The following is a 24,189-nucleotide window of genomic DNA, read 5'->3' on the forward strand; positions in this document are numbered from 1 at the left end:
TTGTACATTTAAAGTAGTATAACTTTAGTCAACTATTTTCTGGAAACTCTGGGAATATTACATTTAAATAATGCTCACTTATATAAACCAATCAGAAAGAGATTCTTTATTTTGAGAGATTTATATCTAATTTATTAATATGCTCTGAAGGTAGGAAAATATTTCACACTCAAAATGAAAGGTAAGGACTTTTCTTTCTCCAGTGCAGATACACAATGTATTCTGCTTCTGTCCTGCAGCTATAGCCATATGTCAAATGTAGACATAGGAATGTAAAACCCTACTGGTTTTACGTTAAAGAGCTGTTCTTTCCAGTAGGACCCAAGACATGTTCTTGTACAAAAAGACAGACAGGCGGCCGGGCGCGGTGGCTCACGCCTGTAATCCCAGCACTTTGGGAGGCCGAGGCGGGTGGATCACGAGGTCAGGAGATCGAGACCAAGGTGAAACCCCGTCTCTACTAAAAATACAAAAAGTTAGCCGGGCGTAGTGGCGGGCGCCTGTGGTCCCAGCTACTCGGGAGGCTGAGGCAGGAGAATGGCGTGAACCCGGGAGGCGGAGCTTGCAGTGAGCCGAGATCGCGCCACTGCACTCCAGCCTGGGTGACAGAGCGAGACTCCGTCTCAAAAAAAAAAAAAAAAAAAAAAAAAAAAAAAAAAAAAAAAAAAAAAAAAAAAAAAAAAAAAAAAAAAAAGACAGACAGGCAAACAAGAAGACTAAAAAATGCATTCTCTGTTGTCTCTCAATCAATCGAGAATAGATCTTTATAGAAGCAGCATAATATAGATTCTCATCCCAACAAATAACTCTAAATGGTCAGACCATAAAACCAAACTTCATTTATTCCTACTATCAGCGAGGAATTACAAGTACACATCAGAACCAAACTTGGTCTCATATCAGAAACAAAATCATAGAACTGGAAATAAAAATCAGAGAAACTGTCAAAAAAGCAAAGTTTGTTGCCACTTGGAATTAACTGTGGGTGCCAAAAAATCATGTAAATGGGCTTAAACAGCTCATGAATTGCATCTCTGAGGCATCACAATTTAATTGGTTCTGGTAGGTGAGTCTGCTTGAGCATCTCTGTGGGACCTCCAAAACTGTTCAAAGTATAATTTAAGAAAAAAATAAAAACATGACTGAAAATTATGCAAAATGTGCAGGTGCCAGGTATTTGTTTAACTCATTAATGAGGGAACCAATAAGATGGTAAGCCTGGTTCAGAGAGAATTGAAGAGAGTGAAGTGCTATTGAAGAGAGTGCTAAAAGAAAGAATGCTTAAGATTCCAATTTAGATACAAAACTGGTTAATGTCTTACAGGGCAATAAAACTGTAACCTTTGAAGTGATCTTTTCTATAGGACTAAAATCATTTGCATCTCTACCAGACAAAATTAATATGCAATGACATTGAACAAGAATTATTTGCATCTCTGACATTTTTCTAAGGTTAATAATGCGTCAGGGAACCCAAACAGCACAAGTGACAACCAGTTGTTTAGTCATTCAGCAAATAGTTCAGGGAGGCCTACTGTGTTCCCAGGACTGTTCTCAGAGTTGAGGATACCAGAGTCTGTTTTGTGCTCTACCCTGGTGAAGGTCATAATCACCTGATCTAGTTGTACATCCCTTGCTCCAGCTGCCTTTGCCACATCTGGGGAGAGCCTGGCCCTGTACACACCCTTCTCTCACATGCAGTATCTGGCAATCCACATTCAGACTATAAGGAGACCAGGACATGCTTATTCTATATTCTTTTTCAAGAATATCAGTAGAAGCTAAATAAATAAATCAGTGGTACAGTTTTGCCTTAGATGTAAAAAATTCCATTAAAGAGAATTCATCTCTTAATATTAGTTTAAAACCTGGCTGTCTTTGTTCTGAGTATTGTCTTTGATATAGAATATCCTGGTTCTGAGGAAAAGGTTTACTGAAAAGAGTTCATTTGCCTTTACTCTTCATTTCACTCACTTTTAAGTTTTTTTTTCAACTTACAAGAATTAAAGAGACAAAGTGATCACATTTCTGTATTCTCCTATTGCCTAAGAGGCATTTTGTATTTGGCATCTTCTGCCATCACTGTTGCATTTTATAGATTTTTGGATTTTCTACAAGTGTATATAGTTTCTGCTTTGGTTCGACATTATCTTAAGTAAATATGGGTGTGTGCTTTCCTTTATGACTCTCAAATAGTATTTTCTATTTTGGAGGAATTTATTACAAGCCTGCTTTCTGTAATGGACCACTCATTGGCCACTTACTGAAGTGTATCCTGCCATTAGTGGTTTTGTCATATAAAGCATAATTGAATGTACTTTACTGAAATCCTGTAGCATAATCCAGTTATTTTGTTTTTTCTGGAGTGCTTGGGTATATCGGCTCCTATTCTTTTTAGCAGCTTGAGTCTCACCGTTGAGTTTGGCATGTTTTATTTTTCCCAGCGTTCAAGAAAATGTCTTCATTCTGTGAAGGTAATTTGATCATAGAGTTTAGTTCTACTTTAATTGTGTGTATGAACCAAATATTGATGTGCTGTATCATTTGGTATGTGAATTGAATGAATATTTATGCAGATATAATTATTCATCATGAAGATATCTCTTTTTGAAAATGTTAAAATGTGTGTTGACCATCTATAAATTATAGATGAATACATTTTCAGTTAGAAAATCTTGGTATGTCACGTGTCTTTTAAAGAATAAAATCTGTAACTTCTACAATTGAAGAAAAAGTTTAAATCATTGTAGAATTAATACAATGGATAGTTTTTACTTTTACATTTATTTTAGAAATGTCTTTCATTTGAATTTTCTGATTAATAACAAAATTAAGCTTCTACAATGTATAGAAGATACAAATAACTGACTGTCTCACTAGAGAAAGAATGCACTCCTTTAGGTAGGTCAGCAGTCTTAAAAGCTTGCTCTTAAATTCCTGTTTTTCTGCATTAGTGTGTTTATACCACAGAGTCACTTTTATATTATAACATAAGCCTAAAATAATACATTGTGTTTGTTTTACAGTCCTCATGATATGAATGAAGTTGGGTATGGTCTAAATATTTCCAGACTATCTTTTTATGCTTTTTGTCATTGAAGAAAGAGCATTGTACAAGAAGCATTTAACCCTTCTCTCAAATTTTGCATCTTCAGAGGCAAGGAACTGCTCCACCGCCAATGAAACTTCCTCCTCCTTATAAAGCTCTGACTGATGACAGTGATGAAAATGAAGAAGAAGATGCCTTTACCGACCGTGAGTGCCTTTTCACTATTTAGGGTAGATGCAGAACTTATTAAATTATGTTTTAACGACTGTTGTAAATTATCAAATATATGGCTGTGAGTTCTTCAAAAATGTGCATGAATGTATGCTAAAAAATCAAATCTATACCTTTGAAGCTTTTGTGGCGTCATTTCCTAAGCTTTTCCCTTGGACACTGAGAAAGGGAATATTGAAGGAAGCTATGCTGTACACTATTTTTCCTATATTCCCTTCTAATCTTATTGTTTGGTTGTGAATACAAAAATGTCCCTAGTCTTTGAAATTAGAATTTGACCCATAATTATCTGGGTTGGATGTAGATTTCAGTTGTTGATTACTTGCCTTACTCAAAGTGATGTTGCTAATGCAGGATTACAGAAGGCCCACCAACTTGTATTTTGTCCTTTAAAATTCATTTCATGATTTTCTTTTGCATTAGATGAATCAAATATGCATTCATACATATATTTAACTGTGGCTTTACCTAAAATAATTTGCATTTCTTTTATGTGCGTCTAGTGTATACTATTGCTAATGTATACCAAATTTCTTTTGGAGGTGATGAAATGTTCTAAGATTAGATAGTGGTGATGGTTGTACAGTTTGTGAATATATTAAAATCACTGACTTATACATTGTAAACTGGTGAATTTTATGGTATGTGAAACATATGTTTCCTTAACAGAATGTTTTCCCTTCTACAATATAGAAAAGGAATTCAATATTGAAATTGAGTCAAAATTCTTACTCTAGCAGTTCCTAGAGTGTGACCTTAAATATGCCCTCCTCTATAAAAAGGGTACAATAATGATACCTACTTCATAGGGTTGTAATGAGGATTAAAATAAAGCAATAAAGCCTTTAACCTGCCACATAGTGAGTCTTTGATAAGTATTATAGCTCCTATTATGGTTATAATAATTACTATTTATATTTTTCTTAATATAATAACGAATATATAAATAGAAATAAAATATAAAATAAATAACTTTATGATAATTAAGCTGATTATAAAAACTTGAATTGTACTTTGCAATTTTATGAAGCCCTTTCTCGTGTCATTTTCTTCATGCATTCAATAAATCTTTGTTGAATACCATCTGCTTTTTAGTAACAGTGTTAAGTGAGTCTGCTATGAAGTGAATAACACATTGCTCCTTTTGTCTTGATTGAGCCACCACCTCGGAAGGGATAATGCAAAGGCATGGGAATAAAGTGTGATAAGTGTACTGTGGGCTTTAGTTCTCAGCTTCTTTTTGGAGAGCTACACATGGTGTAAAAAGTTGATATGTATGTGCACATGTGTAATATATTTCCTTGTTCTGATATAGATATCATGTCAGCTGCCACGGAATGGAGCTGAATTGTTGTTACTCCATACATTCTGGTTTCCTAGAAGGCCAGTATTTGCCCAGTTATTGGGAAACCTGGTTGAGGTGTGCACCTAAGATTATGTTCTAATCCTAGTTCTATTACTTGCTAGTTGTGAGTTTTTGGAAAAGTTATTTAACTTCTTCATGATTCACACTTGCTTATCTATGTGGGGGTGAGCGAATATCTTATAACCTGCCTCATAGTATTGTTGTGACAATTAGAGGAGAAAAAGCTTTTGAAGAGCTTAGTACAGGCAGTGTGATACCTAGTAAATGCTCTGGTTTACCATGTGCCAGGCATTGTTTTAAAGCCTTTATGTGTAGTATTAACTCAGTCAACATACTAACTTTGTGAAGTTCTAATTATACAAATGAAAGCTCAGAGAAATTAAAGAATGTGTCCAAAGTTAGACAGCTAACAAATAGTAGAAATGGGGTTCAAACCCATGTACTCTTACTCCAGAGCCTATAACATCATCGATACTTGCTGTTACTTAAAACTCATTATGATTGCAGAAATAGGTACAGCTGGGCACAGTGGCTCACGCCTGTAATTCCAGCACTTTGGGAGGCCGAGGCAGACGGCTTACCTGAAGTCAGGAGTTCAAGACTAGCCTGACCAACATGGTGAAACCCCCTCTCTTAAAAAAAAGAAAAGAAATAGGTACAGAGTGATTTGGGGTTCTCTTTTAAATATCACTTTTATGCCTAAAATAGGCAGACTCAGCAGTGTCCTCCCCAAAGTTACAAGCTCATATGCACAGGCACATATACACGGCAGCAGTGGGGTCAGGAAGGAGGCTAATTTACCTTAAATGCAGAAAAAGACTTCTAATATTGAGCCATTCTTGAGCTATAATATTATACATTTCACAGATTCTCCAGGAGACCTATGTTGGCTGTATATATTACTTTTCTCTTCATTCATTTTGCTTCCTAATTTTTTTCCTTCCCCGTGTACAGTCCCCATTTTACACCCCATTAAATTTACTGTTAACCTCCTCCAGAAGAATTTGAACTGTATGGAGGTATTTGTTAGATAATTCACATTTGAAATGCAAGTGAACCTGAAGCCTCTGGCCTTCCCGTATTTCCCTTTGAAATAGATCCCATGGGTTTTTCTTTGTTCCTTGACTCATGTTAAATGAACACTCTGCTCATCTGTCTAAACTAAAAGTATTTCGGGTTGCTGTTTTATCAGATTCTTGTCCGAAGACTAAGCCTTTGTTTTTACAGTGATGAAAGTATGGCTACATAACTTTCCCAAGGACCATGATTCTGAAGCGGATGGCTGCAGTGTAAGCCCTAGGCCTACAGGGAAGTGCTGATTTTATTAGAGAGATCCAGGGATGAGATACACATGGTTTTGGGGGTTTTTTGAGATGGGGTCTTGTTCTGTCATCCAGATTGGAGTGCAGTAGCTCAATCATGGCTCACTGAAGCCTCAGTTTCCCAAGTAGCTGGTACCACAAGTGTGTGCCACCAAGCCTGGCTAATTTTTTTTTCTTTTTTTGAGATGGAGTTTTGCTCTTGTTGCCCAGGCTGGCATGCAGTGGCATGATCTCAGCTCACTGCATCGTCTGCCTCCTGGGTTCAAGCGATTCTCCTGCCTCAGCCTCCGGAGTAGCAGGGATTATAGGAATGCGCCACCACTAATTTTGTATTTTTAGTAGAGACAGGGTTTCTTCTCCATGTTGGTCAGGCTGGTCTGAAACTCCCGACCTCAGGTGATCCGCCCGCCTCGACCTCCCAAAGTGCTGGGATTATGGGCATGAGCCACCACGCCCAGCCTAATTTTTTTATTTTTTTTGTACAGATGGAATCTTGCTATTTTGCCCAGTCTGGTCTCAAACTCCTCGGCTCAAACTATCCTTCCCAAAGTGCTGGGATTATAGGCGTGAGCCATCACACACTAGTCTAAAGCATGTTAAGAGCTGGCTTTGCTAGTTGCTTATTTATAAAGTTTATTCAGATAAGAAGTGTTTATTGAGTGGATGTTATGCATTTGGGAGACACTGTTCTAGGTGTTGAGAATATGGCAGGGAACATGGCTGTTGCTCTCATTAGCTTAGATTCTGGTGGGGAGAAAGATTATAAACAATCAGATAGTTTAAATAGTGATAAGGACTATGAATAAAACAAAGTAATAAAATTTAAAAATTATGTTAAAAATAAATTTTAAAACAAAAATAAAAAATAAAAACAAAACATGATAGCATGAGAATAAGTGCATTGGACGAGACAAAGAATTGTTAAGAAAAGCCCAAATAGGCTGGGTGCAGTGGCTCACGCCTGTGATCCCAGCACTTTGGGAGGCTAAGGCAGGTGGATCACTTGAGTCCAGGAGTTCAAGACCAGCCTGGGCAACATGGCAAAACCCATCCCTACAAAAATTACAAAAAATTAACTGGGTATGGTGGTGAACATCTATAGTCCCACCCACTTGGAAGGCTGAGGTGAGAGGATAGCTTGAGCCTGTGAGGTGGAAGTTTCAGTGAGCCAAAATCATGCCACTGCACTCCAGGCTGAATGACAGAGTGCGACTCTGTCTCAAAAATGAAACCTAAATGAAGAAGGAACCACACTGCAAAGATCTGGCTCATGTAGTCATCATATAGATAAGGGCTTTTTTGAGACTGTGACCCACAGTGAAATACACTTCACTTAACCAGTATAGATGCACACATACACACAGGAACATGTATGTAAAACTGAAACAAAAGTTTCATGAAATATTACTTACCTTTATAATGTGTGAATTTTATTCTTTTTATTTTATTCTATTTCATGTTTTTAAATGTTGGTTGCAACTCAGTATATTTTATGACTAACAAACAAGTCGCAACCTGCATTATGAAAAACACTAATTTAGATCCATGGCTTTCAAACTTCAGTGTGCCTCAGGAGGTTCCAGAAAGCTTGTTAAAACAGTAATTGATAGTCATGGTCATTCCCTGCCTGCCCCCCCAACACACACACAGCCCCAGCCATTTCTGATTCCTTAAGCCTGGACCTGATCATTTGCATTTAGAATTAGTTTCCAGGTGATGCTGGTATTATACTTCCGATCCAGAGACTACACTCTGAAAACCGAAACCACTGATCGAAATGGTCTTTAAAGTCATGGGAGCCCATAAGTTTACTTAGGAGTAGTGTGTAGACAGCAACAAGAAGCAAACCCAGCACCTGCTCCATGAGCCAGCAAGGAGCACTTCCAGGAGATTAGGGGATTGTGTTGTTTATGAGAGAAAGGTGTTTCAAGAAGGCTGTCACTGACCTTCAATGGTCAAGGGTGGAATGCTGCTAAGAAGTTGAGGAGGCTGGAGACATGAAAATAACCATTGAATTTAACAAGAAATTGATGAGGAAGAAGAGAAAGAGGACGCTTGATAAAATAACTGTAGTGTGCGGGACGCAGGGGCTCACCCCTGTAATCCCAGCACTTTGGGAGGCCGAGGTGGGTGGATCACCTGAGGTCAGGAGTTCAAGACCAGCCTGGCCAACATGGTGAAACCCCGTCTCTACTAAAAATACAAAAATTAGCTGGGTGTGGTGTTGCACACCTGTAGTCCCAACTAGTCGGGAGGCTGAGGCACAAGTATCACTTGAACCTGGAGGCAGAGGTTGCAGTGAGCCGAGATTGCGCCACTGCACTCCAGCCTAGGCAACAGAGGAAGGCTCTGTCCGACCCCCTCAAAAAATAATAAGCATAGTAATTATTGTTCAGATTATTATGAAACTTAAATGTAACAACCAATATAGAGAGTTTGGTATGTAATGGGCATTTCTATTTTAGCTCACTTATCTTGCATAGTTGCACATATTTTATGACATCCTGGTGTCTAATTATCGTAAGAAGTCTTATAATTGAACTCTGGTTCAATTAGTGAAATTAATTGAGAATTATGAAAAAATTAAGAAACAATGTACTGCATCAATGCGTAGCTCTTGGCAAAACTACCATTATCAAAGGTTGCAGGATTTGTCAAAGGTATGTATTGATGGTGCAGGAACTTTTGACTTAACTTTGTGGAAATGGCCTTTCATACCTGGAATTAAAATCAGACGCCTGTAATCCCAGCACTTTGGGAGGCTGAGGCAGGCGAATTACAAGGTCAGGAGTGCACGACCAGCCTGGCCAACATGGTGAAACCCCGTCTCTACTAAAAATACAAAAAATTAGCTGGGCGTAGTGGCGGGCTCCTTGTAATCCTAGCTACTTGGGAGGCTGAGGCAGAAGAATCGCTTGAACTTGAGAGGCAGAGGTTGCAGTGAGCCGAGATCGTGCCACTGCACTCCACCCTGGCGACAGAGTGAGACTCCATCTCAAAAAAAAAAAAAAAAGGAAAAAAAGAATTCAAGATCACTGAGAGCATAAAGAGATCACTCAGTTGACTGTTATGTGGTGACTTGAAAGTCTTCTTTTCTAACTTTAATCCTTCTTTGATCTTATGACCCAAATTTTTAGTAGGCTGTTAAGAAGATGCCATGTCTTTTTTCCACTAGCACTTTCAATTTTCTAACCAAAATAAAATGTTATGTCTTCTCCAAGGCTGACCTTTTACCTTCTAGTCTCAGTTTTGGCTCAAGCCATTACCAGCACTCCCATCCCCCAACCCTAAAATGAAACTTCTCTTCTGTTTGTTATTTCTCTTCCTGACAATGGATCAACAAACATACATGAATCTTTATTCCCAGTCTCTTTCGCATTCGTAGTTGTTCCTTTACATTTTTTTTTTTTCGAGATGGAGTCTTGCTCTGTCGCCCAGGCTGGAGTGCAGTGGTGCAATCTCGGCTCACTGCAACCTCTGCCTCCCGGGTTCAAGCAATTCTCCTGCCTCAGCCTCCTCAGTAGCTGGGATTACAGGTGCATGCCACTGCGCCCCGCTAATTTTTGTATTTTGTTGTTGTTGTTATTGTTGTTGAGATGGAGTTTCGCTCTTGTTGCCCAGGCTAGAGTGCAGTGGCACGATCTCGGCTCACCGCAACCTCTGCCTCCCGGGTTCAAGTGATTCTCCTGCCTCAGCCTCCCAAGTAGCTGGGATTACAGGCATGCGCCACCACGCCCGGCTAATTTTGTATTTTTAGTAGAGATGGGGTTTCATCATGTTGGCCAGGCTGGTCTTGAACTCCCGACCTCAGGTGATCCGCCTGCTTTGGCCTCCCAGAGTGCTGGGATTACAGGTGTGAGCCACCATGCCCAGCCCTTTACATTTTTATCACCACAGTTTTAGTAATTACACGGTAATAATCACAGTCTCTTGAGTACCTGCTATGTGCCATACATTCTCCCCAACTCTTTGAATGCATTCTCATTGGATATACAGAAGAGCCTTTGAAGAAGGTATTATACCTTCTGTTGATTTCAGCTTAGTGTCACCTCCTTTGGAAAAGCTTGCCTGACTCCTTAGTTCAGTATAGATTCCTGCATTTTTCCTTTATAGCAGTTAACAAAATATCATTTTAATGTACTTACTAGATTAATATCTGTCTTCCCCACTTAACACTCTAAGTTCCATGAGGCTAATGACCCTCTCTGTTTTGGCCTGGGACGTTATACAAACCTAGTATTTGGCCGAATTAATGGCAGAGGGTATATGCCTCGGATAGTCAACAGTGGGGATGTGATGAAAATGCAGGTTTGCTCGTGGTGCTTCGGAGATACTCTTTCTGCCGAACCGCACCATCCACCTAGTTTCGGAGCATTCTGTGCAGAACAGCTTGACTTCTCTTTCCCCACATGCCATTTCCTACCTTATCTAAAAGCTTCAGTCTCCTGAGAGAGAAGCGTCTATCCCCAGAAATCCCTGCTTTGATCACTTTGATCCCAGAGGTTAAATGCTTTTACAACAGCCAGGTCTTTCTAACCTGCAAGCATTCATTCTTTCAGCGACATTTTTCAACTATGGGGAGCAGAAGGCTTTGGAATGACTTTTTGTAACATGTAAGAGAGTAGTCATAAAGAAACAATGAGAACCACATTATAGACATGTCTCTGTCTATGCAGATAAGGTCCTAGAAACTCAGTATAATTGACTTGTTTGCTGCCACTGGCTTTTAAGGACCTAGCAGAGATATGAATGGAACCCCACACTGTAGGAATCCTAAAGCCCTTCCTTTATACTTTAATTTCAGAAAAGCACGCTGTCATAGGTATTTTGTTTTTCTACCCTAATTTTGTTTTTCCACCCTAATTTTGTTTTTCCCAGAAAAGACCTGGTCATCTTATATCATAATGGAATGTTTGGTATAAAGAGTATATTTGGATTATGAAGCATAATTATAAAATTAACCTGTGTGGCCAGGCGTAGTGGCTCATTCCTCTAATCCCAGCACTTTGGGAGGCCAAGGCGAGTGGGTTGCTTGAACCCAGGAATTCCAGACTGGCCTGGCCAACATAATAAGACCCTGTCTACAAAAAACAAAAGAATTAACTGGGTGTGTTGGTGCATGCCTATGATCCTAGCTACTCAGGAGGCTGGGGCAGGAGGATCAGTTGAACCTGGGAGGTCAAGGTTACAGTGAGCCATGATTGTGCCACTATACTCCAGCCTGGGCAACAGAGTGAGACCCTGTCTGAAAAAAAAAAAATTAACCTGTGTACTGCCCGATGCAAATAAAAACTTAGATTACCAATTCCTTGCATCTTCATGTTTTACTTTAATTCTTATTGTTTTATTTCAATTATTTTAAGAACAGGATACTAGCTAAGTCCTTGTGAAATGTGGTTTATTATCAATTCTGTTACTCAGAGTCACAGTCTTTTTTAAGCTTAGAAGGGATAACTTTAAAAAAAATAACAACTTTATTGAGATATAATTCACATACCATATAATTCACCTTCTTAAAATGCATAATTCAGTGGCTATCAATTCAGTATATTCAGAATTGTTCAACTGTCACCACTATTAATTTTAGAACATTTAGGACATTTTCATCACACTTCCCCCCAAATCCCTACTCATTAGCAGTCACTCCACTTCATATTTATTTAAAATTCATTTCACATATAAAATATATATACATATATATTTTAATTTTTTAAAAAGTAATTCTTATGTGTTCCCATGGAGTGGAGTAGGAAACCTATCCCAAACCTCTCCCCTTCTTGCAAAAAATATTCTATATTCAAGTTTAGGAGAAAACAGAATACTTGCTAGCCCCACTGTCCTCAAGAACCTAGCAATGCATTAAGCTCACCTCCTCTCCTCTTCCAAGACCAAAAAAAAAAAAAAAAAAAGCCGGAAAGGAAGAGAACAAATTAAATTATTATTTACAGATGGTCATATAATTGTCAGTCTCAAAAATTCAAAACCTACAGAGTATTTTGGCTATAATAAGTAAGGCTATATATGAATTGTACTTCTATTTTTTTTGAGACAGGGTCTCTCGCTCTGTCACCCAGGCTGGAGTGCAGTGGCGTGATCTCGGCTCACTGTAACCTCCGCCTCCAGGGTTCAAGCGATTCTCGTGCCTCAGCCACCCAAGTAGCTGGGATTACAGGCACACACCACCACACCCAGCTAATTTTTGTATTTTTAGTAGAGATGGGGTTTCACCATGTTGACCAGGCTGGTCTCAAACTCCTGAGCTCAAGTGATCTGCCCACGTCGGCCTCCTTTCAAAGTGATGGGATTACAGGTAGCATGAGACCCCACGCCTGGCCGAATGATACATCTTTTTAAATCTTCTTATCAGTATTATCTACTTAGGAAATGTGATATAAATTTCCTAATAGCAATAACTGTAAAAAATAGGAAATATCCAGGAACAATGCAATTCGGAACATAAAAGTCATGGCAATGACTCATAGCTTCGAGTCGTTTATTCAGTGCCACTGCAATGAAAGCTATAAACCTACTCCCCAGAAAAATGTATGCAAATACACAGAAACACTGTCACCCATGTGCATGGGTGCACACACATATACACACAACATTTTATGTAACATTTTTTCAGCTTTGTGGGAGTCTTGAAGCCCATTTAAGAATTCAAGGACCACTGGTTAACAATCCCCATAGTTTCTTTCTTTTTTCGTTTTGAGACAGTTTCGTTCTGTCACCCAGGCTAGAGTGCAGTGGCATGATCCTGGCTCACTGCAACCTTGACCTCCTGAGCTCAAGCAATCTTCCCGCCTCAGCCTCCTGAGTAGCTGGGACTACAATATAGTTTCTTTCTTATAGAAAATTAGGAAACTTTATTAAAGATTTTGGGAAAAATATAGAGTGCCATACTATTTTCCTGATTGGAAAACTAAGTGTATTACAGATTTCAGTTATTTCTAAATCCATCTGTAAATTTAAGGTAATTTAAATCCATCTGCTTGCTAGGTGGAATAGTCTTTAAAAAAAATACAAGCACTTGATTGAAAATTGACTTAGAGATAAAATACTAGGCAGTTTTGGAAAAGAAAGATAATGACGAGGGACTTTCTTCTTCTTTTTTTTTTTTTTTTTGAGACGGAGCGTTGCTCTTGTTGCCCAGGCTGGAGCGCAATGGCACGATCTCAGCTCACCACAACCTCCGCCTCCTGAATTCAAGTGATTCTCCTGCCTCAGCCTCCCAAGTAGCTGAGATTACAGGCATGCGCCACCACACCTGGCTAATTTTGTGTTTTTAGTAGCGATAGGGTTTCCCCATGTTGGTCAGGCTGGTCTCAAACTCCCAACCTCAGATGATCCACCTGCCTCGGCCTCCCAGAGTGCTGGGATTGCAGGCATGAGCCACCACGCCTGGCCTAGGGACTTGCCTTTTTTTGTATCTGAATCTCTTCTAAACTGGTGCTTTTCAAACTCAGTCTGGAGCTTTTAGACATGAATGTGAGTGTTTTCTCCATCTTGGTACTGTTGCTGTCTTGAGAGAATAATTCTTTGTTTTGGGGCAGTCCTTTGCATTGTAGGATGTTTAACAGCATCCCAGGCCTTTTCCCACTAGATGCTGATAGTACCCTCCCACTCACCACAGTTATAACAACCAAAAACGTTTCTGCACCTTGCCAAGTGGCCCCTGGTCTAAGTGGATGGGGGATTCTACTGTCATTGATTGGTTGGGGTATCAAGGTATGGTCCCTTACAAGGAAGAATTATTTTGTCCAGAGTGCTAGTATTGTAACAGCATTCTTGATTATAAACATTGTTTAAAGTTGCAGTAGTAGAGAGGGTGGGGTGTTTAAAAAAAAAACAAGAAACAAAACAAAACAAAACAGCTATCTATCTGGTATTATGCTTACTACCTGGATGACAGGGATCTATATGCCAAACCTCAGCATCATGTAATATTTTCATGTAACCAATCTGCACATGTACCCCCTGTATCTAAAATAAAAGTTGAAATAAAAAAACAAACTAACAGTAATAGGCTGTGTGTGGTGGCTCACACCTGTAATTCTAGCACTTTGGGAAGCTGAGGCAGGAGGATCACTTGTGCCCAGGAGTCTGAGACCAGCCTGGACAACATAGTGAGACCTCATCTCTGTTAAAAATAAATAAATAAATAATTTTTTAACTGCAGGAATAAAATCAGTTCAATATTTGCATTAAAATTGGTGTAGAAATAGTCCCAGGTGTTTATTTAGAATTTAGAGCATAAAAAAATTTTTTTTTCTAAATAGTAGAAATAAGATAGATGATTCAATAAATGATCGACTGTGTACTCATTTGGGGATAAAATGTGGAGATCTTCTCAAGAAAATTACAAATTGATTTAAAAAGAATCATGTAATTCTTGGTGAAACACCGTCTCTACTAAATATACAAAAAAAAATTAGCCAGGCGTGGTGGCGGGCGCTTGTAGTCCCAGCTACTTGGGAGGCTGAGGCAGGAGAATCGCTTGAACCCAGGAGGCGGAGGTTGTAGTGAGCCAAGATCGTTCCACTGCACTCCAGCCTGGGCGACAGAGCGAGACTCCATCTCAAAAAAAAAAAAAAAAAAAAAAAAAATTCATGTAATTCTAAAAACTGAAATCATAGAAATACTACAAAAAGTCTATATAAGGTATTTTTAAAATATAACCTTGGTACAGAGAAAAGCCTTTCAAATTATTATTACCAAAACAATAACGGACAATGATCATGTGTTTTCTTACATAAAAATTAAAAACTTTGCATTCACACACACACACACACACACACACACAGTCAGAAGAAAGACACACACACACACACATATATATACAGTCAGAGGACAATAGAAAAACAAGCAAAGATCAGGCAGTATTTAACAAAATAAGTTATATTTGGGTAACAAGTACAAAATATCTGTGTTCAGCCTCACTAATAATAAGTGTAACTATAAAAATCAGGTTTTTTTTGCCTATCAGAGTACTTAATATTTTAACAATATTAATCATCATTGTTAGAGTGGTTGTAGAAAAACAGGAGTTGTTATATACTGTTGGTAGGAATAGGAATCATTTTACCTCTTTTTGAGCACCCGTTTGGCAGCATGTATAAAAAGTTTCTATGTGCTTTTTTTTTTTTTTTTTTTTTTTTTTGAGACGTTGTCGCCCATGCTGGACTGCAGTGGTGTGATCTCGGCTCACTGCAACCTCCGCCTCCCAGTTCAAGTGTTTCTCCTGCCTCAGCCTCCCGAATAGCTGGGATTACAGACACCCACCACCATGCCTGACTAATTTTTATATTTTTAGTAGAGACATGGTTCCACCATGTTGGCCAAGCTGGTCTCAAACTCCTGACCTCAGGTGATCCGCCCGCCTCGGCCTTCCAAAGTGCTGGGATTACAGGTGTGAGCCACCGCGCCCGGCCTATATATGCTTATTCTTTGACAGAATAATTCAGCTTCATATCCTAAGGGAGTCATTGTCCATGTAAATATATGTGTATTTAGATATATATCTCTACAAAGATGTTTACTTCAGCATTTTTTACTAATAGCAATTGTAGTAATATATATTTATGTATTTAATACATCATTTACTTTGACTAAGCCACTTAGCCTCTAAATTTTTGTAGGCATTTGAGCTGGAGCAAGTCGCATCTATTTCCTTTAGTTTCCTCATTTTAAGATTGGGAATATGATAACAATAATACCCTTTTCACAGTGTTATTATGAGAGATTAGAAGATATGCATTTATATAAGAAGTGGCACATGGGAAGTGCTCCAGAAATGCTAGCAGAAGTGCTAGCTACTGCTTTTTATTATTATCAGTAGTAATATAAAATTCTTCAATGTGTGCCACATATTGCCATTAGAAAATGAAATTCTAGCCGGGCGCAGTGGTTCACGCCAGTAATCCCAGCACTTTGGGAGGCCGAGATGGGCGGATCACGAGGTCAAGAGATTGAGACCATCCTGGTCAACGTGGTGAAACTCCATTTCTACTAAAAATACAAAAAATCAGCTGGGTGTGGTGGCACGCACCTGTAGTCCCAGCTACTCGGGAGGCTGAGGCTGGAGGATCACTTGAACCCGGGAGGTGGAGGTTGCAGTGACCTGAGATCATGCCATTGCACTCCAGCCTGGCAACAGAGCAAGACTCCATCTCAAAAAACAAAAAAAAAAAAAGAGAAAAAGAAAAGAAAAAGAAATTCTAGCATAAGAGTATGTTAACCTTTTATCTAAAATTATTATTTAATTTATTTAAATTTTGGAAGTCAGTTTTTTTAAGTTTAGCAAGATTGAATAGGACCGGTACTTTATTAACACTGTTTACTGCTGGATTCTCTCTGCTCACCTTTGCATCTTCACAGTATTACATTTTCACTTTCAACTGAGATCACTAGGAGAGAAAGGCATTTTGGAGTACTTCACTTTTCTCTAATACTTTTTCTCTTCTTACTCTTTATTTTCCCTGGATCAAAGGTGGATATGCCATAGAAGCAATTGTATATAATATGAATTGGCATATTTCCTATGGAATTTTGATGCTGTAGGGTTGACATTTTACTTTAACTTCATTTCTCCCTACGTAGGAAGAATACACAGGAAAATTTTTTGAGAAAAGTTAATGGTTCAGATGGAATCTAAAAACTAAAAATAATAGCTTTTAAAGTTTACTTTGTTTAATGTGAGTGCTAGTTTGCCAAACATTCCCAACAAACTTATGGCATAACTTTATTATTCTACCTTGTAGCATTTACGTTTTATGAACAGTTGTTGACTCACAAAGAGTATAATGTTGTTTATAAAGTTAATTTTCAGCCGGGCACGATGGCTCATGCCTGTAATCCCAGCACTTTGGGAGGCTGAGGCAGGCAGATCTCTCGAGATCAGGAGTTCAAGACCAGCCTGGCCAACATGGTGAAACCCCATCTCTACAAAAAGTACAAAAATTAGCCAGGTGTGGTGGCACACACCTGTAGTCCCAGCTATTTGATAGGCTGAAGCACGAGAATTGCTTGAGCTGCGGAGGTGGAAGTTGCAGTGAGCACAGATCATGCCACTGCACTCCAGCCTGGGCAACAGAGTGAGACTCTGTCTCAATAAATAAATAAATAAATAAATAAAAGTTAATTCTCTTAATAGTCATATTAACTGTCAACATTTTTTCCTACTTAACTTTTTAATAAATTTTAATATAAAAACTTACAGCTTTCATCCCTGTCTTTAATTATTTTAATATTTTACTCTGGTAGTAATAACCATTCTACTTCAATTAATTGATAGAATTTCAGCATAGCAACCACATTTGTCACTGAAAGAGATTTTTCACTTCAAAGTTACTTCAAGAATGCTACTCTAAATAGTAACAGTAAATCCAAATGTCAGTCTTGTTTGAATTATTGCCATTAATAAATACAGTTTTGTTTTCATTCTTAACATGTGCTGTCACCAGATTATTGATCTTGCACTGCTTCAGTGGTGCCATGAATGATGTATCTTTCATTTGGCCTTCTGGAGGTCAAAGCCAAATAGCAGTTTTTAACCAAATTCTAAAGGTCAAAGCTGAACTTTGCAGGATTCCTAGTATTTTTTCTTTTATTGAAAAAAGTACAGAAGAATGTACAGAACTACTTTGAGAGAGGAGGTTTGAGAAAAAATATATGCTTTCAACTTTATTTAATTTACTTGAATTCTATATAACAAAATATGCTTATTTGAAAGAAAAAAAGCATTTCTTTTTACAGCTCATAATAAGAAAACAACTAACTCAATTTTTGAAAATGGGCCAAAACTTGAAATGATACTTCACCAAAGACATCTGAATGGCTAATAAAAAGATCCTCAATATCATTAGTTATTAGGGAAATGCAAACTAAAATCACTGCACATTCACTAGAATGATTTTAATGCAAAATGATAGACAGTACAACTGGAATCTTCATACACTGCTGGTGGGAGTGTGAAATGGTCCAGCCATTTTGGAAAGCAGTTTGGCAGTTTCTTTTTTTTTTTTTTTAAGAGGGAGTCTCACTCTGTCATCCAGGCTGGAGTACAGGGGCACGATCTCAGCTCACGGCAACCTCTGCCTCCCGGGTTTAAGCAATTCTCCTGCCTCAGCCTCCTGAGTAGCTGGGATTACAGGCACCCACCACCACACCCAGCTAATTTGTGTATTTTTAGTAGAGACGGGGTTTCACTGTGTTGGCCAGGCTGGTGGAACTCCTCACATCAGGTGATCCGCCTGCCTCAGCCTCCTAAAGTGCTAGGATTACAGGCATGAGCCACCATGCCCAGCCAGCAGTTTCTTTAAAAGTCTGCATATAGGTTTACTATACAACCCAGCAATTTCACTTCTAGGTATATACCCAAATGAAATGACAACATGTGTCCACACAAACTCTACTCCACAGAAGTTCGTAGCAGCATTATTCATAATAGCCAAAAACTGGAAACAAGCCAAATGTCCATCAACTGGTGACAGGATATACATAGTGTATATCCATACAGTGGAATACTATTCAGCAATGAAAAGGAGTTCAATGCTGCTACATTCTCATCATGCTAAGTAAAGGAAGCCTGCTGAGAAGATTCCAAGATGGCCGAATAGGAACAGCTCCAGTCTACAGCTCCCAGCGTGAACAACGCAGAAGTTGGGTGATTTCTGCATTTCCAACTGTGGTACCGGGTTCATCTCACAGGGGCTTGTCAGACAGTAGGTGCAGCCCATGGAGCAGGGCGGGGCATCGCCTCACCCAGGAAGTGCGAGGGGTCAGGGAATTCCCTTTCCTAGCAAAGGAAAGCTGTGACAGAGGGTACCTGGAAAATCGGGACACTCCCACCCTAATACTGCGCTTTTCCAACAGCTTTAGCAAACGGCATACCAGGAGATTATGTCCTGTGCCTGGCTTGGAGGGTCCCACGCCCACGGTCGCTGCTAGCACAGCAGTCTGAGATCGAACTGCGAGGTGGCAGTGAGGCTGGGGGAGGGGTGTCCCCCATTGCTGAGGCTTGAGTAGGTAAATGAAGCCGCCGGGAAGCTGGAACTGGGTGGAGCTCACCGCAGCTCAAGGAGGCCTGCCTGCCTCTGTAGACTCCACCTCTGGGGGCAGGGCATAGCTGAACAAAAGGCAGCAGAAACTTCTGCAGACTTAAACGTCCGTGTCTGACAGCTTTGAAGAGAGTAGTGGTTCTCCCACCACAGAGTTTGAGATCTGAGAACAGACAGACTGCCTCCTCAAGTGGATCCCTGACCCCCGAGTAGCCTAACTGGGAGGCACCTCCCAGTAGAGGGTGACTGACACCTCATACGGCTGGGTGCCCCTCTGAGACGAAGCTTCCAGAGGAAGGATCAGGCAGCAACATCTGCCGTTCTGCAGCCTCTGCTGGTGATACCCAGGCAAACAGGGTCTGGAGTGGACCCCCAGCAAACTCCAACAGACCTGCAGCTGAGGGTCCTGACTGTTAGAAGGAAAACTAACAAACAGAAAGGACATCCACACCAAAACCCCATTGGTATGTCACCATCATCAGGGACCAAAGGTAGATAAAACCATGGAGATGGGGAGAAACCAGAGCAGAAAAGCTGAAAATTCTAAAAATCAGACCGCCTCTTCTCCTCCAAAGAAACGCAGCTCCTCACCAGCAACGGAACAAAGCTGGACAGAGAATGACTTTGACGAATTGAGAGAAGAAGGCTTCAGACGATTGGTAATAACAAACTTCTCCGAGCTAAAGGAGGATGTTTGAACCAATTGCAAAGAAGCTAAAATCCTTGAAAAAAGATTAGGCGAATGGCCAACTAGAATAACCAGTGTAGAGAAGTCCTTAAATGACCTGTTGGAGCTGAAAATCATGGCACGAGAAGTACGTGACGAATGCACAAGCTTCAGTAGCCGATTTGATCAAGTGGAAGAAAGGGTATCAGTGATTGAAGATCAAAGGAATGAAATGAAGGGAGAAGAGAAGCTTAGAGAACAAAGAGTACAAAGAAACGAATAAAGTCTCCAAGAAATATAGGACTATGTGAAAAGACCAAATCTACGTCTGATTGGTGTACCTGAAAGTGACAGGGAGAATGGAACCAAGTTGGAAAACACTCTGCAGGATATTATCCAGGAGAACTTCCCTAACCTAGGGAGGCAGGCCAACATTCAAATTCAGGAAATACAGAGAACACCACAAAGATACTCCTCAAGAAGAGCAACCCCAAGACACAAAATTGTCAGATTCACCGAAGTTGAAATGAAGGAAAAAATGTTAAGGGCAGCCAGAGAGAAAGGTTGGGTTACCCACAAAGGGAAGCCCATCAGACTAACAGCGGATCTCTCAGCAGAGACTCTACAAGCCAGAAGAGAGTGGGTGCCAATATTCAACATTCTTAAAGAAAAGAATTTTCAACCCAGAATTTCATATCCAGCCAAACTAAGCTTCATAAGTGAAGGAGAAATAAAATCCTTTACAGACAAACAAATGCTAAGAGATTTTGTCACCACCAGGCCTGCCTTACAAGAGCTCCTGAAGGAAGCACTAAACATGGAAAGTAACAACCGATACCAGCCACTGCAAAAACAAGCCAAATTGTAAAGACCACTGATGCTAGGAAGAAACTGCATCAACTAACGAGCAAAATAACCAGCTAACATCATAATGACAGGATCAAATTCACACATAACAATATTAACCTTAAATGTAAATGGGCTAAATGCTCCAATTAAAAGACACAGACTAGCAAATTGGATAAAGAGTCAAGACCCATCAGTGTGCTGTGTTCAGGAGACCCATCTCACGTGCAGAGACACACATAGGCTCAAAATAAAGGGATGGAGGAAGATCTACCAAGCAAATGGAAAACAAAAAAAAAAGCAGGGGTTGCAATCCTAGTCTCTGATAAAACAGACTTTAAACCAACAAATATCAGAAGAGACAAAGAAGGCCATTACATAATGGGAAAGGGATCAATTCAACAAGAAGAGCTAACTATCGTAAATATATATGCACCCAATATAGGAGCACCCAGATTGCTAAAGCAAGTCCTTAGAGACCTACAAAGAGACTTAGACTCCCACACAATAATAGTGGGAGACTTTAACACCCCACTGTCAACATTAGACAGAAAGTTAACAAGGATATCCAGGACTTGAACTCAGTTCTGCACCAAGCAGACCTAATAGACATCTACAGAACTCTCCACCCCAAATCAACAGAATATACATTCTTCTCAGCACCACATCGCACTTATTCCAAAATTGACCACATAGTTGAAAGTAAAGCACTCCTCAGCAAATGCAAAAGAACAGAAATCATAACAAACTGTCTCTCAGACCACAGTGCAATCAAACTAGAACTCAGGATTAAGAAACTCACTCAAAACCGCTCAACTGCATGGAAATTGAACAAACTGCTCCTGAATGACTACTGGGTACATAATGAAATGAAGGCAGAAATAAAGATGTTCTTTGAAACCAATGAGAACAAAGACGCAACATACCAGAATCTCTGGGACATATTTAAAGCAGTGTGTAGCGGGAAATTTATAGCACTAAATGCCCACAAGAGAAAGCAGGAAAGATCTAAAATTGACACCCTAACATCACAATGAAAAGAACTAGAGAAGCAAGAGCAAACACATTCAAAAGCTAGCAGAAGGCAAGAAATAACTAAGATCAGAGCAGAACTGAAGGAGATAGAGACACAAAAAACCCTTCAAAAAATCAGTGAATCCAGGAGCTGATTTTTTGAAAAGATCAACAAAATTGATAGACCACTAGCAAGACTAATAAAGAAGAAAAGAGAGAAGAATCAAAGAGATGCAATAAAAAATGATAAAGGGGATATCACCACCAATCCCACAGAAATAGAAACTACCATCAGAGAATACTATAAACACCTCTATGCAAATAAACTAGAAAATCTAGAAGAAATGGATAAATTCCTGGACACATACACCCTCCCAAGACTAAACCAGGAAGAAGTTGACTCTCTGAATAGACTAATAACAGGTTCTGAAATTGAGGCAATAATTAATAGCCTACCAACCAAACAAAGTCCAGGACCAGACGGATTCACAGCCGAATTCTACCAGAGGTACAAAAAAGAGCTCCTACCATTCCTTCTGAAACTATTCCAATCCATAGAAAAAGAGGGAATCCTCCCTAATTCATTTTATGTGGCCAACATCATCCTGATACCAAAGCCTGGCAGAGACACAACAAAAAAAGAGAATTTTAGACCAATATCCCTGATGAACATCGATGCAGAAATCCTCAGTAAAATACCAGCAAACCGAATCCAGCAGCACATCAAAAAGCTTATCCACCACAATCAAGTTGGCCTCATCCTTGGGATGCAAGGCTGGTTCAACATATGCAAACCAAAAAAAGTAATCCATCATATAAACAGAACCAAAGACAAAAACCACATGATTATCTCAATAGATTCAGAAAAGGCCTTTGACAAAATTCAACAGCCCTTCATGCTAAAAACTCTCAATAAACTAGGTATTGATGGGATGTATCTCAAAATAATAAGAGCTATTTATGACAAACCCACAGCCAACATCGTACTGAATGGGCAAAAACTGGAAGCATTCCCTTTGAAAACTGGCACAAGACAGGGATGCCCTCTCTCACCACTCCTATTCAATATAGTGTTAGAAGTTCTGGCCAGGGCAATCAGGCAGGAGAAAGAAATAAAGCATATTCAATTAGGAAGAGAGGAAGTCAAACTGTCCCTGTTTGCAGATGACATGATTGTATATTTAGAAAACCCCATCATCTAAGCCCAAAATCTCCTTAAGCTGATAAGCAACTTCAGCAAAGTCTCAGGATACAAAATCACTGTGCAAAAATCACAAGCATTCTTATACACCAATAATGGACAGAGAGCCAAATCATGAGTGAACTCCCCTTCACAATTGCTACAAAGAGAATAAAATACCTAGGAATCCAACTTACAAGGGATGTGAAGGACCTCTTCAAGGAGAACTACAAACCACTGCTCAATAAAATAAAAGACGATACAAACAAATGGAAGAACATTCCATGCTCATGGATAGGGAGAATCAATATCACGGAAATGGCCATACTACCCAAGGTAATTTATAGATTGAATGCCATCCCCATGAGGCTACCAATGACTTTCTTCACAGAATTGGAAAAAACTACTTTAAAGTTCATATGGAACCAAAAAAGAGCCCGCATTGCCAAAACAATCCTAAGCAAAAAGAACAAAGCTGGAGTCATCTCGCTACCTGACTTCAAACTGTACTACAAGGCTACAGTAACCAAAACAGAATGGTACTGGTACCAAAACAGAGATATAGACCAATGGAATAGAAGCAGCCCTCAGAAATAATACCACACATCTACAACCATCTGATCTTTGACAAACCTGACAAAAACATGAAATGGGGAAAGGATTCCCTATTTAATAAATGGTGCTGGGAAAACTGGCTAGCCATATGTAGAAAGCTGAAACTGGATCCTTCCTTACACCTTGTACAAAAATTAATTCAAGTTGGATTAAAGACTTAAATGTTAGACCTAAAACCATAAAAACCCTAGAAGAAAACCTAGGCAATACCATTCAGGACATAGGCATGGACAAGGACTTCATGTCTAAAACACCAAAAGCAATAGCAACAAAAGCCAAAATTGACAAATGGGATCTCATTAAACTAAAGAGCTTCTACACAGCAAAAGAAACTACCATCAGAGTGAACAGGCATCCTACAGAATGGGAGAAAATTTTTACAATCTATCCATCTGACAAAGGGCTAATATCCAGAATCTACAATGAACTCAAACAAATTTACAAGAAAAAATCAAACAACCCCATCAAAAAGTGGGCAAAGGATATGGACAGACACTTCTCAAAAGAAGACATTTATGCAGCCAACAGACACATGAAAAAATGCTCATCATCACTGGCCATCAGAGAAATGCAAATCAAAACCACAATGAGACACCATCTCACACCAGTTAGAATGGCAATCATTAAAAAGTCAGGAAACAACAGGTGCTGGAGAGGATGTGGAGAAATGGGAATGCTTTTACACTGTTGGTGGGACTGTAAACTAGTTCAGCCATTGTGGAAGACAGTGTGGTGATTCCTCAAGGATTTTGAACTAGAAATACCATTTGACCCAGCCATCCCATTACTGGGCATATACCCAAAGGACTATAAATCATGCTGCTATAAAGACACTTGTACA

General features: G+C 39.4%; 1 protein-coding gene across 23 annotated transcripts in view, besides 1 other annotated feature; it reads left to right on the forward strand.

Moving 5' to 3' along the window:
- Positions 1 to 24,189, forward strand: part of PATJ (PATJ crumbs cell polarity complex component) — a 421,436-nt gene that overhangs the window by 182,095 nt on the left and 215,152 nt on the right. For all 23 annotated transcript variants that reach the window (XR_007061928.1, XM_011540462.4, XM_011540467.4 and 20 more), the window contains one exon: positions 3,156 to 3,255. Coding sequence is in view for 22 of the 23 variants with exons in the window: in XM_011540462.4 (XP_011538764.1) it covers positions 3,156 to 3,255 (100 nt within the window). In the remaining variant the exon portion in view is untranslated. The remainder of the gene's footprint in view (positions 1 to 3,155; positions 3,256 to 24,189) is intronic.
- Positions 18,414 to 18,914: an enhancer, noted in NCBI's record as "H3K4me1 hESC enhancer chr1:62408660-62409160 (GRCh37/hg19 assembly coordinates)". NCBI's record gives its function as "activates a minimal SCP1, AML or CMV promoter by ChIP-STARR-seq in primed H9 embryonic stem cells {active_cell/tissue: H9 hESC(primed)}" and the evidence as "EXISTENCE:reporter gene assay evidence [ECO:0000049][PMID:30033119]".

The sequence above is a fragment of the Homo sapiens genome, chromosome 1 (genome assembly GCF_000001405.40).
Source record: "Homo sapiens chromosome 1, GRCh38.p14 Primary Assembly".
Taxonomy (NCBI): Eukaryota; Metazoa; Chordata; class Mammalia; order Primates; family Hominidae; genus Homo; species Homo sapiens.